This window comes from Homo sapiens, chromosome X (genome assembly GCF_000001405.40).
Source record: "Homo sapiens chromosome X, GRCh38.p14 Primary Assembly".
Classification (NCBI taxonomy): Eukaryota; Metazoa; Chordata; class Mammalia; order Primates; family Hominidae; genus Homo; species Homo sapiens.
The window spans coordinates 47,165,133-47,183,085 of NC_000023.11; the positions used below are offsets into that span (position 1 = coordinate 47,165,133).

The following is a 17,953-nucleotide window of genomic DNA, read 5'->3' on the forward strand; positions in this document are numbered from 1 at the left end:
AAGGTTTTGTTTGGGATGATGAAAAATTCCTGGAAAAGGTGATGGTTGCATAACATTGTCAGTATACTTAATGCCACTGAATTAGATAATTAAGAATGGTTGGCTGGGCGCGGTGGCTCATACCTGTAATCCCAGCACTTTGGGAGGCCGAGACGGGCGGATCACCTGAGGTAGGGAGTTCGAGAGCAGCCTGACCAACTTGGAGAAACCCTGTCTCTACTAAAAGTACAAAATTAGCCGGGAGTGGTGGTGCATGTCTGTAATCCCAGCTACTCGGGAGGCTGAGGCAGGAGAATCGCTTGAACCCGGGAGGCAGAGGTTACAGTGAGCCAAGATTGCGCCATTGGACTCCAGCCTGGGCAACAAGAGTGAAACTTGTCTCAAAAGAAAAAAAAAAAAAAAGAGGCTGGGCGCGGTGGCTCACACCTGTAATCCCAGCACTTTGGGAGGCTGAGGCAGGCGGATCACCTGAAGTCAGAAGTTCGAGACTGGCCTGGCCAACATGGTGAAACTCCATCTCTACTAAAAATACAAAAATTAGCCAGGCATGGTGGCACACACCTGTAGTCCCAGCTACTCGGGAGGTTGAGGCACAAGAATTGCTTGAGGCCCGGCCCAGTGGCTCACGCCTGTAATCCCAGCATTTTGGGAGACCAAGGTGGGCAGATCACGAGGTCAGGAGTTCGAGACCAGCCTGGCCAGCATAGTGAAACCCCGTCTCTACTAAAAATACAAAAATTATCCGGGCGTGGCTGCGTGCATCTATAGTCCTAACTACTCGGGAGACTGAGGCAGGAGAATCGCTTGAACCCAGGAGGCGGAGGCTGCAGTGAGCCGAGATTGTGCCACTGCACTCCAGCCTGGGTGACAGAGCGAGACTCCATCTCAAAATTTAAAAAAAAAAGGATGGTTAAATGGTAAATGTATATTTTACCACAATACAAAATGATCTAGAAAAAATATACAAAAATTAAAATTTTAAGTTTATTTTAGGCCATGTGCAGTGGCTCCCGTCTGTAATCTCAGCACTTTGGGAGGCTGAGGCGACAGGCTCACTTTAGTCCAAAAGTTCAGGATCAGGCTGGGCAACATAGTGAGGTCCTGTATCTACAAAAAATTTGAAAATTAGCTGGATGTGGTGGTGCATTCCTGTAGTCCCAGCTGGTTGGGGCTGAGATGGGAAGATTGCTTAAGCCCAGGAGGTGGAGGCTACAGTAAGCTATGATTGCACCACTGCACTCAGCCTGGGCAACAGACCGAGACCTTGTCTCAAGTAAAATAAAATTTATTTTGAAACAGTCTATCCAATGTAGTTTTAATTCTCATCTTTCTCTCTCTCTTTTTTTTTTTTCTTGAGATGGAGTCTCGCTCTGTCACTCAGGCTGGAGCGCAGTGGTACAATCATAGCTCACTGTAACCTAGAACTCCTAGGCTCAAGCAGTCCTTTCGCCTCAGCCTCCTGAGTAGCTGGGACTATAGATGTACACCACCATGCCCAACTAATATGTTGTGGTGGTGATGGTGGTTTTGTAAAGACGGGATCTTGCTATGTTGTCCAGGCTGGTCTTGGCCTCGAGCAATCCTCCCACTTTCACCCCGCAAAGTGCTGGGATTACAGGATGAGCCATCTCACCTAGCAAAATTTTCTTTTTTTTTTTTTTTTGACTGAGTCTCGCTCTGTCGCCCAAGCTGGAGTGCAGTGGTGCGATCTCGGCTCATTGCAACCTCCGCCTTCTGGGTTCAAGCGATTCTCCTGTCTCGCCCTCCCGAGTAGCTGGGACTACAGGTGCGTGTCACCACACCCAGCTGATTTTTTTTATTTTTAGTAGAGACGGGGTTTCACCATGTTAGCCAGGATGGTCTCTATCTCTGGACCTTGTGATCCGCCTACCTCACCCTCCCAAAGTGCTGGGATTACAGGTGTGAGCCACCGCGCCCGGCAAAATTTTCATCTTTCATTATGAGTGAGATAGAGCATCTTTTCAGATACACATCATTGATATTTTTATCTGTGAATTCTGTTTACTTCCTTTCCCCATATTTTTTCCTAGTTTATTGTCTTTTGACTTGGTTAATGATGTTTTTTATTTTTCTGTTTTTTTCTCCAAGCAAAAGTATTTTATTTTTATGTAGTTGAATTTAGTAATCTTTTCTGTGGCTTCTGGATTTGGATTATAGGTTTCCCCATTTCAAGATTATAAAGAAATTATTCAGTTATTCTATATTTTCTTTTATGATTTCATTTCTTTTTTTTTTTTTTTTTTAAGACAGAGTCTTACTCTGTCACCCAGACTGGCAGTGGCTCACCGCAGCCTCCGCCTCCCGGGTTCAAGCGATTCTCCTGCCTCAGCCTCCCAAGTAGCTGAGATTACAGGCGTATGCCACCACACCCAGCTAATTTTTGTATTTTTGGTAGAGATGGGGTTTCACCATGTTGGCCAGGCTGGTCTCGAATTCCTGACCTCAAGTGATCTGCCCACCTCGGCCTCCCAGGGTGCCACCCACGCCTGGCCTATGGTTTCATTTCTTATGTTTAAATCTTTGATCTATTTCAAATATATCCTGGTATATATGTGAAGTATAGTCATAATATCTTGCACATGTCTAGGTATTTAACCTTTTTGATGAATTGTACTTGGGACCTTTCTATTTTCTAAACAGTGGTTACATTAATTTGTACCCAGCATCCTTACTGATTTATTATTTATAACAAGTTTTTCAGTTGATTCTCTTAGGCTTTGCAGGTATACTCTCATATCATTTACAAATAATGGTAATTTTACCTTCTCCTTTCCAGCTTTTAACCTCTTTTCTTCCTTCCCTGTTTAATTGCTTTAGCTAGTGTCTTTAGAATAATGTTAAGAATGCTGTTGATAACGGACATTCTAATGTTGTTCCCGACCAGAATTGGAATCCTGTTAGTATAGTAGCATTCTTCTGTGGCATCTAGTTTTTTCTATTTTAAATAAACATATATTGGTTGCTCTTAGAATGCTTTTTTAGTCATTATTTGTTCAAAATAATTGTTGAGCGCCTACTGAGTGCTAGGGAATATGGCAGTGAGCTAAGGGTCCCCTCATTTCCTGGAGCCCATATTCTAGTAATTTTTTAACTCACCAAAGAAACACAGATTAGGCCATGCACAGTGGTGGACGCCTGTAATCCCAGCACTTTGGAAGGCTGAGGTGGGTGGATCACTTAAGCCCAGGAATTTGAGACCAGCCTGGCAATGTGGTGAAACCCCATCTCTACAAAAAATACAAAAATGAGCTGGGCGTGGTGGTGCGTGCCTGTGGTCCCAACTACTCAGGAGGCTGAGGTGGGAGGATGGCTTGAGCTTGGGAGGTTGAGGCTGCAGTGAGCCCTGATAATGCCACTGCCCTCCAGCCTGGGCAACAGTGCCAGATCCATTCTCAAAAAAAAAAGAAAAGAAATGCAGATGAAATCAGCTTTGAGATCATTATTTTACAGTTATTGCGGTAGGAGAAATTTTAATGAAAGAGCTGCTAGTGTCGGCAAGGTGACAGTGAAGCAGGGGCAGGGGACGTGGTGCAAGACAGGGAGGAGGAGCCTCACCCCCGGGGATCCTGCAAGCCGAATGAGACCTTGGTGAGCATTTTGGTATTTGATCCTGAGACTGAGGGGGAGCCACTAAAGGGAGTGAGATGGGTTTGAGTGGCTTTGCCTTAGAAAGCACTCACATTTGGGATTTGGGATGTAGAGACTGAACTGGGGAGGTCCAGGTAGAAGTGAGGAGAACAGCCAGGCCACAACCAAGGTGCCCCATGAGGGAAGCCAGTGGCATGGACCAGAGAGTGACATAGGGATGGAGAGAGGCAGGTTGCACTTCAGAGATGTGGAGCAGGGATTTAGGAATCCCTGTATGGGGGCGGGCCTGAGGGCTTCCAAAGAATAGAGTAGGGGGAGGGAAAAATAGAAAGTTTACAGGGTGAGAAACCTGGCAGACACTGCCTTAACCAGATGACCATGGTTAACATCACCAGAGCTAAGTCATGGTGGTATCATGTACTTCTTTCTCTGATAGGATCAGAAGGGCACCTCACTTCTGTTGTATGCTCCTCCAAAAAAACCAAAACCCTACGAGAACACATCACCTGGGCCTCTTGCACCTTTTAGAAAGGGCAACCTTCTGATCCCTCCCCATCCTTCTTCCTCCACTAGTGGTGGTCGTGGTGACAGGACTGGCCGCTATGGAGCCACTGACCGCTCGCAGGATGATGGTGGGGAGAACCGCAGCCGAGACCACGACTACCGGGACATGGACTACCGTTCATATCCTCGCGAGTATGGCAGCCAGGAGGGCAAGCATGACTATGACGACTCATCTGAGGAGCAGAGTGCGGAGGTGAGGAGGGGGCGCGCTGCGCCAGGCCTGGCTGGGATGGGCTCCCAAGGGCCCTCTGTGTCTGGCTGCAGCACCGTGTGCAGGCAGCTCTCCACTCCCGTGCCTTCAGACTGTGCTCGGTGGCTTTGCCTCACCTGGAGGGCCTGTTCCCACTCCCCTCTCTGAGGGCTCCTCTCCCAACCTGGGTCTCCCTGGCTTCCACATGCTTGGCTCTGTACTTCTGAGGGCCCCTGGCCACCACTCTTTCCCTTTCTCCCTGTTGTTCAGTTCGGGCCCATGGCTCACTGTGAACCCTGTACTGCCCGCTCCCAGCCAACTTGGGCACTTGAAGAGCCTCTTCCATGGGACCCGGCGTCTGGGGTTGGGAGGACAACAAGGGGACTGCAGACCACCAAGCTGAGGAGCTCTGGGAGGCCAGCCATGGGCATTCCCAGTGGTGATAGAGCCCCTAGACAGAAGGGAAGGACCCTTCTGGAGAAGCCAGTGCCATGTTGGGTAGTTCACCCTAGCCTGCGGGATGAGGCGCGATGTTTACACCATCAGGGAGCCCCCACCCGAGGGGAAGAAACAGGCTTGCCTTAGGGGAATCCCAGTTGGAGGGGCAGTCAGGGACCTGGTCCATGCGAGCAGGCAGCTCTCCTGTCCAGCAGGCTGGGAAGGGAGTTCTTGCAAGCCCAGCCCTGGGGGGCAGTCTGTGAGCTGCCCACTGCCCTCTGGAGGGTCCAGGGCAAAAACCCCTTTGGTGGACTGCCAGGCTTCTCCAGTGGCAGCTGTCAAGCTGTGCCCAGACGTCTCCAGGAGCACTGGGCCCTGGCCAGGGTGGGAATGGAGCACCAAGTTATCTGGTGCTTCCCCACTGTGGGCGGGAGGGCTTTGGCCCCAGGCCTGCTCTGCTTAGTCCTGGAATGGATGGATTGGGCAACAGCCCAGAGCCCAACAGCCATACCGTTTTGAGCGTGGTGTGTGGTGGAGGACTGGCCAAGGCTGAGGATCAGGGACTGAGGAGGGAGTGTCTGCAGCCCTCACACCACCTCCACCAGCTCCTGCTGCCTGGCTCTGGCTGAGATCTGAAGCTGTTCTTATGCCCCCAGCTTGGTTGCAGGGTGGAACCGTAGGAGACATGCAGCCTTCGGTGGTACAGTGAAGCAATTGAGCACACCCCCTGAGCTGGCCAGAGAGGAGAGGAAAATCAAGGGTGGGGTCTGGTGTGCTGACCCCAGGCCATCTTGCCCCAAGGAGGTTTAAGCTGTGTCTTGTCAGCTACCTTTGGGAGTTCCCCCCACACCAATACTGTCACCTACCTCTCCCCACCCACTGAAGGCAGCCCCCAAAAGGACCCCATGGAGAATTTACAGTCCCAGAAAGATTGCAGGCCGGGGCCTGCCCACCCTGCCTGCCTGAGCCTTTAGCCGGAGCCCGCACATCCCTGGCTTTCAGAGCCTGCCTGCCTCACAGAGCCAGCGGCCAGCTCCTAGGCCTGCCCAGACTGACTGCCCGTCTGGTGTCACTCATCTCATTCTGTCGGCCAGGATTCCTACGAGGCCTCCCCGGGCTCCGAGACTCAGCGTAGGCGGCGGCGGCGGCACAGGCACAGCCCCACCGGCCCGCCAGGCTTCCCCCGAGACGGCGACTATCGGGACCAGGACTATCGGACCGAGCAAGGGGAGGAGGAGGAGGAGGAGGAGGATGAGGAGGAGGAGGAGAAGGCCAGTAACATCGTCATGCTGAGGATGCTGCCACAGGCAGCCACTGAGGATGACGTACGTGCCCCCCATGGCCCCGGGCAGGAGGCCAGGCTGGGTCTCCTCCAGGGCCCTCAACTTCTCCCCACCCCTCCCTCACCTGCAACCTCAGCGCCTTTCATCCCTTCTCCCCCTCCAGCTCCTATCCCCCAGCACTGATCCGTCCTCTGTGGGCAGGTCCCATCGGCCCCCCGGTCTGGAGGGAGGAGTGTCAGAGAGGCCGGCTTGGCCAAGGGACATTGGCCATGGGTGTCTGGTAGTGGTGGGTATGGGCGGGAGAAGAGCAGTCCTGCACATTCCACTGGTCATCCAGCCATTTTGCATGTGTGCATCATGGGCCAGACGCTCACCGGGCCAGTGCTGGCTATTGCTGGTAGCAGAGATGACACTGGGGCCCTGTAACCATTGGGGGAGGGATGGGATTTTCTGAAATTTCCTTCTCTTTTTCCCCCATCCTTTTTTGTCAGCAGCCTGGCCTGGCCTCAGAGCCTTGGGTGGCTGCTAACAGCCTCCACGCCTGCCTCCCTTTCCTCCTGTTTCCTTTTCATACATACTTCTCATGACAGCCACACTGAAGCCCCACGAGGCCTACCAGAATAACCTCCAAGAATAGTGTCCTGATCTTGGTCCTTCTTAGTCTACTCCGCCGCCCCTCACCCCCTACCCCCATGAATTCTCTGATCAGCCCTCCTCTGAAATCTGCTAGCTGCTCATTTTGTAACAGAGAAAATCCCACTTGTGTATTTGAGGGTTTCTAAGGTCTGGCCCACCTGCCCTGTTCAGGGTCAGACAGTAGCTGGTTGCTGACATTTGTTGAGAATGTATCTCAGGGTGGGCCATGTGTTAGGTATGATTCAGTCCCCATGGCAGCCCAGCAGGGAAGGTACTCTTTGTATTCCATCCTTCGGATGAGGAAACCAAGCCCTGAGTGGGAATGTGACTTGCCCCAGGTCTCATAGCCAGTGAGTGGCAGAGCAGAGCTGGAGTCTGAACCCGGGCAGCTGGACCCTAGAGCCCACTTTTTGCTGCTTCCTCAGCCTTCCCTGAGTTTGGAGTCCTGATAAGCTCTTCTGTGTGTTTTTCCTTTTCACCCTGTGTATGGGTGTGTGTAAGGCTAATGTCCTGTCTGTTGTTTAACCTGGTGGGGAAACTGAGGCCCAGAGACATGAAGACTCCTTCCCAAGAATGGCTGGCATAGGCTCCTGGTCCTCAGTGAGAGACCTCACTGGCCTAGAGACCCTGCCTCACCTGGGCCAAATCCTGAATTGCCTCTGCAGTTTCCCTCTGGCCTACTCCATCTGGGAAGCAATCCCCAGGACTACATCTTTTTGCTTTTTGTCTCCACCCTAAGTTATTGCTACAGTCATGGTCTAGGGCACATGGCTGGGATTTGCTCAGACTCCTGTCCTCCCCAGTTTGACATTTATGTCATGGATCTCTTTTGACGCAAGCTGCAGGTCAGCAGGGCAGGGGCGGGGGTGCGGGTTATCCCCTTGCCAAGGGCAAGAATTGCATCCCAGGTTTCCTTACTTCGTGGCTGCCAGCGAGCCCTTTGTCAGATCACCCTGCCCACCGTTCTTAAGTGGCTGGCTCACTTGCTCTCTTGTTCTCTGTGCCCCTGAGGGTCGTCCTGCTGCCATGCTTTACCTTGCTCTGTGCCCATTTCTTCATTTGATTCACTTTCTGCAAGTCTGGGGCTGAAAGTCAAGACTGTGAACTGGTGTGGGCCTGGGGCTGTTGTCACTCAGGGAAAAGCTGCGAAAGAGGCGGAGGAGACTGTGTGCACATCACCGATGACCCCTCGGGATCCAGAGGCCTCCAGCCAGCCTCAGGTACCCAGCGGCCCCATTGTGCTGAGCCTGCCCTACTCTGTATCTCCCCGTATAGATCCGTGGCCAGCTGCAGTCGCACGGCGTGCAAGCACGGGAGGTTCGGCTGATGCGGAACAAATCTTCAGGTGAGCTTTTGTTCTAGTGCCCTCCCCTTCAAGTGGCCAGCCTCAGCCTCCGAATCTCCCTCCTGCCTCTGCCTTCTCCCCCACTCCCTCCACCACCTTCCTGCCACAGCTGGGAATGGGCAGCGTGGGGGGTGCCCTCTCTTCTCTCCCACTCCCCACACTCTCCTCACAGCTCCAGCCAAAAGCCTCTTCAATGGGGCTGTCGGGGCAGGGGTGCAGCTCTGAGCTGAGCTGGGTGCTCCCTGGGGTCAGGGCCAGGGCCAGGCTCCCAGGCACCTCCTCTCTGGGACTCTGAGTATCTGAGATGGTAACCCCCTCCCATACACTCCCTTCCCTCTCCTTTCTTCTCCTTCCTCTGCCCCTCACTTTCCCCCACATTTTTTGGTAACAGCCTCTGACCAGAAAGTAGCTCTGACGTGGTGGTCCCACATGTGTGTCCCAAGGGGGAAGCAGGGGATGGCTCTTATCCAAGGACACATCCCAAGGAACAGCCAGGACTTCCTGGCCTCGCCTGTTCCCTCCCTCCCTCCCTCTTGCAGGCTGCTTGGAGCTGGCCTGAGGTTAGCAGGGTGGTGGTGGGGGGAGTTGTCTCTACAGGACCTCTGCCCAGGCTCCCCAAGGCAGGCACAGTGGGGCCTCACTCTGCCTGGGCTTCTCTCTCCATCTCTCAGTCTCTCCTCCCCACACCTCCATCTCTCTCTCTCTCTCTCTCTCTCTCTCTCTCTCTCTCTCTCTCTTTCTCCCTCTCTCTCTTTCTCTCTCTCTGCCCCCCCCAACTATATTATTCATTCCATCCTCCTATGCATCCTAACGGTTATTCTTTTGAACATTAAGCATGCCCCCCCAAGCCCCTCTCATCCAAGCCCTCCCCATGTATCTGCCTCTAAAGGACATGCTATCCTGAGGCCTCAACCCTGAATCCCTTTCCCAAGCCTGGAATCTTGGTTGCATGTAGGTCTTGCTCTGCATCACCCCAACTACACCACACACGGACAGCTTCTGGGTCTCTCTCTCCACAAGGAGGTGTTCCAGGTGCGGCCTTCTCAATGGCCCTGGGCGCTTCTCCCAGGCACCCATTGATTCTTACCTCTAAGGTCCTCCTGGCCAATCCTGGCCACCATTCTCCTTTTGTCCAGGGGAACCTGGACTGTTTGTGGCTGTAGTCTCCACCCTGTGGCCCTGAGGTGGCTCCCTAGCGAGGCCCGCCTCCCCTGCGCTGCGGTGAGGCTGAGATGAGGTCGTGTCTTTAACCGCCCCTGGTTTCCAATGGGCCAAGAGCCTTCCTAGCCTCGCAGAGCAGCCTGGCCCAGCTTCTCTTTTGCTCCTGTGATTCAACACCTGTTACAGGACCCCTCCTGGGCACCCCTGGCCTTGAGCTGGGCCCGCCCTGGAGTTACGTATTGTGGCTTGTGTGGAGCCAGCAGCCTGCCCACCATCCCCTCCCTCCTTCTTTGGAGGCAGATCTCTCGTATTCTTTCCCTCCCAGCTGCTTCTCTCCGTCTCTGTCACCCCAGGCTGGCTGGGCAGGTCTGCCCGAGCCCCATCTCTCTCTTCCCAGTTGGTGTGTGTGTCTCTCCCCCTACCGACCTCTGGCCTCTGTTTTTCTCCCTCCACCTTCCCTGCCCCACCTGGCCATCTACCTTGCCCCCCACGCCCGCTAGTCTTTCTCTCTCTGATTGCCTCTTTCTCTTTCTTCCTTTTTCCTCTTCCCCTTTCCCTCTCTGCCCCCCGTCCTCTCCCCTCGGGTCCCGCCCCCGGGAACGCCGTGTGTCCAAAGCTGTTGACTAACCCACTGCGTCTGTATCTGAATGCTGTCTCCAGGTCAGAGCCGGGGCTTCGCCTTCGTCGAGTTTAGTCACTTGCAGGACGCTACACGATGGATGGAAGCCAATCAGGTTGCTTTGCCGCACTTGAACCCCCCCCCAAACAAATACTACTTTGTAATCGAGCGCTCCCCATCGCCTGATTCTTATGGACACAGTTCCCTGCCCTGTGGCCCTGTGTCCCATCCCCCCGCCCCCTCTCTCCCCTTCCTGACCCTCACTATCTCCTCTTCCCATCTCTCGCTACCCCACTGGGCTTCTCATCCAGAGCCCACACTCACCACTGGCCCCTTCCTACCACCAGGCACTAGTGCTGCCCCTTCACCTCTCCCAGCTGAGCGTTCAGAGAAAGAGCTGCCAGGGTGGGTTCTTTCACCTAGCTTCCCACTCCCCCGGGGCTGGTGGGGGGGGCACCCCTCTCTGGGGTTAGCCAGAGCCAGGACCTCATTCCACCCTCAGGACCACTGGAAGTCCTGCCAGTGAGGAGCTTAGCTATTGGCACAGTCACTAGCAAGACTCATTTTGTCAGCCCCATCCCTGCATGTGAATTTGGCCCTTTGATTTTCATGCAAGGGGACAGCACTGCTCTGTTGATCTCAAGTTCCCGTCGAGTATGATAGTTTTATCGACACCCTGGCCTCACTTCGCCGCCCCTACCCTTCCTATCACATCTCCACACTCGCAGGAGGCACCACCTCAGGCAGCTCTGTCTTCTCGGCAAGGACCTGTGCACAGTCAGCCCTGGGGGGAGCCTGTCCCCCAAGCCTGGCACGGGATCCCAACTCAGCAGCTTTGGGACCTCCGAGACCCAAAGATCTGCCTGGTCACCCACCCCTGCCCAGATCCCTGGTGTAGGGCACTGGAGAGCAGTTTCAGGGGAGGAAGGGGCAGAGGTGGTAGAATGGGGGATCCCGGCAGAGGCAGCCCTGGGGCCGTCTCCTCGGGGTTGGTAGGCTAGTGCCATGGGCCCAGGACCCAGCCATCCATGGGAAGACGGCCTCATGGCAGAAACTTCCATCTGTTCGAAATGGCTCTTTCTTTTTCCCCTTCTCCAGCACTAGCGCACCTGCGCTCTCTTTCTCTTTTTCTCCCCTCTCCCTCCCCCTCCCTGTCTCCCCTCACCCCCCAAGTGTAGCCTGTGTAGTCCTGGCCCTGGGTGTGGCCTGGCAGTGTCAGGGCCGAGTGGGGGTTTCTCCCCACTGTCCGGCAAGCGTCGGTCAGCCGAACACTGTGTGCCTGGTGGTGTGTGTTCACATGTGTGCGTGCGTGTGCCCGGCAGAGCAGCAAACAGCTGCGCCCGAGAGCTGTGGCGCTTTCCCTCCCTACCTCCCTTCTTCCCTCCATCCGCTCTCCGACCTCCCTCCGTTCCCTGTCCCTCATCCATCCAGCTGAAGGGCTCGCTCACTCTCTTCTCCTATGCTGAAACGGTGCGTGGGGCACTGCTGCCTGGACCTCACTGTGCTCTGCTTTTTCCCGCAGCACTCCCTCAACATCCTGGGCCAGAAGGTGTCGATGCACTACAGTGACCCCAAGCCCAAGATCAATGAGGACTGGCTGTGCAATAAGGTACAGGGGCGGTGGGCAGCAGTTGTCATGGACAGAGACAGCAACAGCAGTGGCGGCGATCTCTCCCTTCCTCTCCCGCTCTTTCTCCCTCCATCTCTCCCCCTCCCCCAATCTCTCCTCTCCCTCTGTCTCTCTCTCTCTCTCTCTCTCTCTCTCTCATTCTCTATCCCTTGCTAGCTCAGCTTGAGTAGTCACCATTCCTAGCCAGCCATATACAAATGTGTAGTGAGCGTTCACTTGGTGCAGGCTCTGTCCTCCTAAAATGCAGTCTTGCCTGGAGTTCCAGTAGACTTTAAGGAAATATATACGTGGATGATGAATTAGTGACAGTGTAGACTTGAAGTGGTGGTGTGGAGAATGTGGGCTTCAGAGCCAGACTGGCTGAAATGAGACTATCCCAGATCGGCCTTGATTTTGGCCAAGGTGCTTAGCCTCTCTTTGCCTCACTTTCCCCATCTCTAAAATGTGAATATTAATGACACCTCTCCCAAAAGGTGGTTGGGAGGATTCAGCTGTGTTAATGAGAGAGTAACACTCAGAACAGTGCCTGGCCCACATTTAACACAGTCGAATTGTTAACTGTAATCATGAAAGAAAAGCACAGAGCGTTCTGAGAGCCCATAGCAGGTAGCTCAAGCCTGAAGGCCACTCTGACCAGGCCAAGTCAAACCTGAAACTGGAGGCTGTGGTTTTGTAGTCACCTCTGTCTTCCCTGAGGGGAAGCTGAGGCTCAGAGAGGTGGAACCATGGGTGAACCTTTAGCTGTGCCCTGTGCCTTGCTCCTGATCACAGGGACTTGGATGCCACAGTGGCTTCAGGTCTGCCCTGGGGCCAGCATTGTGATTCCACAGTTTGTAGAGGCCCCAACCCTCTCCCCAGGAAGTACTCTGCCTAGTCAGGGAGAGTGGTGCATCTGTTTTAAAAAAAAAAGTCCCATCAGAGGATTGGTGCTTAACATTTCTGGAGAGATAAAGACAAAGTGACAGTGGAACTCCTTCCTGTGTTTCCAGATAGCCTCAAAACCAGGGAATTCTCTTTTTTTTTTTTTTGAGACAGGATCTGGCTCTGTCGCCCAGGCTGGAGTGCAGCAATCTGGGCTCACTGCAACCTCTGTCTCCAGCGCTCAAGCCATCAGCCTCCAGAGTAGCTGGGACCACAGGCGCATGCCACCACACCCACTAATTTTTGCCTTTTTATTTTTATTTTTTTTGGTAGAGACAGGGTTTCGTCATGTTTGCCAGGCTGGTCTTGAACTCCTGAGCTCAAGCAGTCCTCACGCCTCAGCCTCCCAAAGTGCTGGGATTACAGGCGTGAGCCACCACGCCCAGCCCAAAACCAGGGAATTCTCTTGAACTCCTTCCCCTCCCCTGCATCCTGTTGGCCACCAGGTCCTGTCACTTCCATCACAGAAACGCCACCTTCCCTCCCTCGCCATTCCCGCTGCTCATGCCAATCGTCACGCTCTCACCCACTCACTGTGGAGCCCTCTCTGGTATGCTGGCCTCTTGTCCTCTTTCTCCCACGCCCTCACCTGGAACATTCCTCAAAACCACCTCTGACTACCCACGCCTCTCCTCCTCTGCTTAACCAGCCCCAGCTCAGCTTAAGCATAAGATCCTCCATTACCTAACTGGCTTCCTTCCCCGGCCTTGGCTTTTGCTTCTCCCCTTACTCTCCCACACCAGTTTCGGAAAGTCCATTGTTCCCTCCGATAACAATCCCTCCCCAGCAAGGCTTAACAAAATGAAACTTCTGGGCATCCCAGGTCAAACCTCCCTGCTTCTGTGCAGGGACTGTCCCTGCCGAGTAAATGGCACCCCACCCCCAGCCCATTTCCCTCCCCGAGCCCCTGCTGGATGGTCCATGCAGACCGACCTGCCCCTCTTCATGCTGCATCTGCCCCTGTGCTATTAGGCCATGAGGGCAGAGACCATGTTCTGGCCATGTGCAGCAGGGCCTGGCCCAGGAGTGGTGCTTAGTACCTGAGTCTGGAACAGAGATGGAGTGTGGTAGAAGCTGGGTCTCCAGATGCTGGAACATTCAAGGAAAATTTCTCAAGCGTAGCAGGATCCAACCCAGTCCTAGAGCTAAGAGGAGGGGTGCGGGTCTGGCTACTGACTTCTAGGGCTGAAACACTGAAAGGTTTCTGAATAGAGGAGCAAGTTTCAGGGAGAGGAACCTAATAAAGGGATTGAATACCTGAGGCGGGGAACAGTCCTGGGAGTTGGTGGCCTTAAGAAGGCAGAGGAAGGAGAGGAGGGAGTTGTTGTACCAAATGGGGGAGTTGTTTATTCCTGAGCTGAGTGGGTTGGCACAGAGGACAAATGAGAGTCTGGAAAGGGAAGATGCACAGTACTGAGAACAACATCAGAAGGTTCAGAAGGCACCTGCCACCATTGCCTAGGGGCTTTCCTTCCTGGGGCACTGCGGGGTCCCTGGGAGATCTCTTCATCCAAGTTTGGAGGGTGCAGTGGGAAATCCCTGCTCCCTCTGACGGCCTGGCCTGTGCCTCACAGTGTGGCGTCCAGAACTTCAAACGCCGAGAGAAGTGCTTCAAATGTGGCGTGCCCAAGTCAGGTGAGGCCCACCTACCTCTCGTGCTCTCCAGGGCGGAGCGGTTGGGGAGAAGGGAAGGGTGAGGGGTCTGTGCTCAGGGCTTGGTATAGGGAGGAGGGTGACCAGTCGTGGAGCCTTCCCCTTATCACCAGCCTGTCTCCCACTGCCCCTGACAGAGGCAGAGCAGAAGCTGCCCCTCGGCACGAGGCTGGATCAGCAGACACTGCCACTGGGTGGCCGGGAGCTGAGCCAGGGCCTGCTTCCCCTGCCGCAGCCCTACCAGGCCCAGGGAGTCCTGGCCTCCCAAGCCCTGTCACAGGGCTCGGAGCCAAGCTCAGAGAACGCCAATGACAGTGAGTCAGTTGTTCCTTCTTCCTCTGTGCCCTAGGGTGTCGGGCTGGGCTCACCAAGACCAGAGAAATGGCAGTGAGCAGGACCTCATCCTCATGGAATCTCCACTTGGTGCGGGGATAGACATTTGATGTAGGGAGAACAGGGGGAGTGGCAACATCCCACCTGACTTTGGGGGTGTGTCGGGAAGGTTCTCAGCAGACAGGCAGCCAGGCTGGCACCTGGACCGCCAAGCAGAGTTGATCCTGGAGGAAGCAGTGAGGGAAGCGGCAGTTGCAAAGGCACGGAGTGAGTGGGGGCAGAGGAAAGGGAGCAGTGGGGGCATTGAAGGGCAGGGCTGGCAAGAGTGCCAGGGGTGTCCTCTAACATTGGGCCCCTTCCCACAGCCATCATTTTGCGCAACCTGAACCCACACAGCACCATGGATTCCATCCTGGGGGCCCTGGCACCCTACGCGGTGCTGTCCTCCTCCAACGTGCGCGTCATAAAGGACAAGCAGACCCAACTGAACCGCGGCTTTGCCTTCATCCAGCTCTCCACCATCGTGGTGAGGGCGGCACAGTTGGGGGCCGGGCAGCCAGGGTCCCGGCCCCCGGGGTGGAGACGAGGGTCCTTTTCCCCAGCCTCCCACCGCGGCTGCCAGCCTGGAAATCGGGCAATGGAGCCGGGGGCCTCCCCGGGCCTGACCCTTCTGTCCCTGCCTCCCCTCCTCCCACAGGAGGCAGCCCAGCTGCTGCAGATCCTGCAGGCCCTGCACCCACCACTCACTATCGACGGCAAGACCATCAATGTTGAGTTTGCCAAGGGTTCTAAGAGGTCAGGGCCCCACCTGTGTGCCTTCCCACCCTTCCCCTCCCCACCCTCCCACTCCCCCCTACCGCTTGGGGCCTCCTATCTCACTCCCAGTCTCTAACATCCTCCTCAGGGACATGGCCTCCAATGAAGGCAGTCGCATCAGTGCTGCCTCTGTGGCCAGCACTGCCATTGCTGCGGCCCAGTGGGCCATCTCACAGGTACTCAGACCCCTTGTGCCTCCCAGCGTCCTGAGACCTGGGCTTTCTCAACCCTCCTGCACCCTCTCTGAAGCAGGAAGGCTGGCTTGCTATCCATGGATGCAAAACCCTCTCCCAGTAGCTGGCATGGCTATTCTACCTTGCTCCTGGCTCTCTAGACCCCCTGGGACATTCCCCTTCATCATCACCGCAGCTTTCTTCCCAATTGCCTCCCATGCGCTCATGTACGACGCCATTGTGCCTGGCATTCTGTGCTGTTTGGTGGGGTTTTTATTGTCCTGAATAGGTATGATATACACATATCCTTATATGTAATATATACATATATGATATACACGTATCATATGTTCCTGAATAAAAATAACGTATAAGTGGTTGAGAGAAAATTGGGAGAAGAGAATAAAGAAGTAAGAAGATGGTGTCTTCCTTGGCCTGACACCCAACACACACGCCACACACAGCAGAATCAGCAGAATCAGCCCTGGAACATTTTGGCGTTCATCTGTTTTTCTGTCTTGTGTTTGCCACTGGCCTATTTGTTCTCTTGTGGCCAGGCAACCCTCGCTTTCCACTTGTCTTAAGGCTGCATGCTTTGTCTGTCAGGTAGAAATACTAGCCCCACGTGTGGGACAGATGCTTCTAGCAGGTTCCCCACCCCCCACCCCCACACCTTCCTGTTCTAATGAACCCCTCCCACCTGCCCTTCAGGCCTCCCAAGGTGGGGAGGGTACCTGGGCCACCTCCGAGGAGCCGCCGGTCGACTACAGCTACTACCAACAGGATGAGGGCTATGGCAACAGCCAGGGCACAGAGTCTTCCCTCTATGCCCATGGCTACCTCAAGGGCACCAAGGGCCCTGGCATCACTGGAACCAAAGGGGATCCCACTGGAGCAGGTGAGCCCCAGCATCTCTCTCTGCAGCTGTGGTGGGGGCCAGCAGGCATAAAGTCCCCGGCCCCATTATTCACAGGCATTGTCCCTGCCCTGTCCCTCCTTACAGGTCCCGAGGCCTCCCTAGAGCCTGGGGCCGACTCTGTGTCGATGCAGGCTTTCTCTCGCGCCCAGCCTGGTGCTGCTCCTGGCATCTACCAACAATCAGCCGAGGCGAGCAGTAGCCAGGGCACTGCTGCCAACAGCCAGGTGAGTGAGCCCTGTGGGTATGTATCCCGGGGAGGCAGGCAGGCGGCAGGGGTGGCATGGGCAGACACTGAGCCCTGTTCTCCTGTCTGGCCCCATGACCAGTCGTATACCATCATGTCACCCGCTGTGCTCAAATCTGAGCTCCAGAGCCCTACCCATCCTAGTTCTGCTCTCCCACCGGCTACCAGCCCCACTGCCCAGGAATCCTACAGCCAGTACCGTGAGTAGCCACAGCCTGTGGGTAGGGGTGGGGAGTTCTTAATAAAGCAGGGAATAGTGTGACCCCGTTCCCCTCACCCCCTAGCTGTTCCCGACGTCTCTACCTACCAGTACGATGAGACCTCCGGCTACTACTATGACCCCCAGACCGGCCTCTACTATGACCCCAACTCCCAGGTAATAGGGCAGCCCAGGGAGGGATGGGATCGGGTCAGGTCGCGTCAGGAACAGCTAGCCCTGCAGGTTCCCTTCACAAGGTCTTCCCTCACATCCCCTCTTCCCTCCTCCTCCCTCAGTATTACTACAATGCTCAGAGCCAGCAGTACCTGTACTGGGATGGGGAGAGGCGGACCTATGTTCCCGCCCTGGAGCAGTCGGCCGACGGACATAAGGAGACAGGGGCACCCTCGAAGGAGGGCAAAGAGAAGAAGGAGAAGCACAAGACCAAGACAGCTCAACAGGTGAACACCAGGGTCCAGCAGTCACTGGCTGGCTGTGTGGTGTCTTCCAGCAACGGCACTCTGTCAGCTCTTGCCCTCTCCTGCCAAGGGAGATGGCGGGCAGGTGTGGATGTGGGCAGTGACTGCTTAGCAGACCATGCTCTTGCCCCAGCTCTGCTCTTTGCTGAATGGCCTTGAGCCAGAGCAGTCTCCTCAGTGTGTGGCAGGGTTGCCCAACTCCAGGAGGTGGCTTGTGCCATCCGAGTGAGCCCTGTCAGGTGTCTTCTGTCCCATGGTGGGGACCCTCACATTCTGCTGGTGAATATACATGTATGCCAGAGAAATTCTCACAGGCCATAAGGGGGTGGGCAGGAAAAAAGCCCTGCAATGTTTTGTGGGAGTGGGCAGATGGAGGGCACCTCAGTGTCTCTCTGTGGAGAAAGGGTGTGACACTGTGAGCGTAGCGTTTACAAGCAAGCACTAAGTGTTACCTTAGCAACCTGATGAATTCTAAAAATGGTGCTGTGCTGGGGGGAACATGGAAATATAGAATGTGGCATTGTGTCATGCATATAAAGTTATACACAAATAAACATTCCTATGCATTTTTAAATGATAAAATGGAAATGCACAACAAATGTGACAGCGTGGGTGTATGTCAGGGGAAGAGGAGTGTCTTCATCCATTTGCTGCTCCATAACAATACCACAGACTGGGTAATTTATAAGGAAAAGAGATTGATTTGGCTCACAGTTCTGTAGGCAGGGAAGCCCAGTGGTG

At 54.7% G+C, this 17,953-nt stretch overlaps 1 protein-coding gene across 14 annotated transcripts in view, besides 1 other annotated feature; it reads left to right on the top strand.

The window, feature by feature from the left end:
• Positions 1–17,953, top strand: part of RBM10 (RNA binding motif protein 10) — a 41,593-nt gene that overhangs the window by 19,912 nt on the left and 3,728 nt on the right. For 2 of the 14 annotated variants that reach the window (NM_001204468.2, NM_005676.5), the window contains exons 3-17: positions 4,183–4,366; positions 5,896–6,126; positions 7,996–8,065; positions 9,887–9,960; positions 11,368–11,454; positions 13,971–14,031; positions 14,187–14,363; positions 14,748–14,908; positions 15,080–15,177; positions 15,287–15,374; positions 16,083–16,269; positions 16,375–16,514; positions 16,617–16,734; positions 16,819–16,910; positions 17,030–17,194. In NM_001204468.2, coding sequence (NP_001191397.1) covers positions 4,183–4,366; positions 5,896–6,126; positions 7,996–8,065; positions 9,887–9,960; positions 11,368–11,454; positions 13,971–14,031; positions 14,187–14,363; positions 14,748–14,908; positions 15,080–15,177; positions 15,287–15,374; positions 16,083–16,269; positions 16,375–16,514; positions 16,617–16,734; positions 16,819–16,910; positions 17,030–17,194 — 1,933 coding nt within the window. Of the gene's footprint in view, positions 1–4,182; positions 4,367–5,895; positions 6,127–7,995; positions 8,066–9,886; positions 9,961–11,367; positions 11,455–13,970; positions 14,032–14,186; positions 14,364–14,413; positions 14,650–14,747; positions 14,909–15,079; positions 15,178–15,286; positions 15,375–16,082; positions 16,270–16,374; positions 16,515–16,616; positions 16,735–16,818; positions 16,911–17,029; positions 17,195–17,953 lie in introns of those variants that run through there. The other 12 variants (NM_001440861.1, NM_001204467.2, NM_001440862.1 and 9 more) reach the window with 7 other exon arrangements.
• Positions 13,392–14,591: an enhancer, noted in NCBI's record as "CDK7 strongly-dependent group 2 enhancer chrX:47037923-47039122 (GRCh37/hg19 assembly coordinates)". NCBI's record gives its function as "activates an origin of replication core promoter dependent on BRD2, BRD4, P300/CBP, MED14 and CDK7 cofactors, with strong dependence on CDK7, by STARR-seq in HCT116 cells {active_cell/tissue: HCT116}" and the evidence as "EXISTENCE:reporter gene assay evidence [ECO:0000049][PMID:35650434]".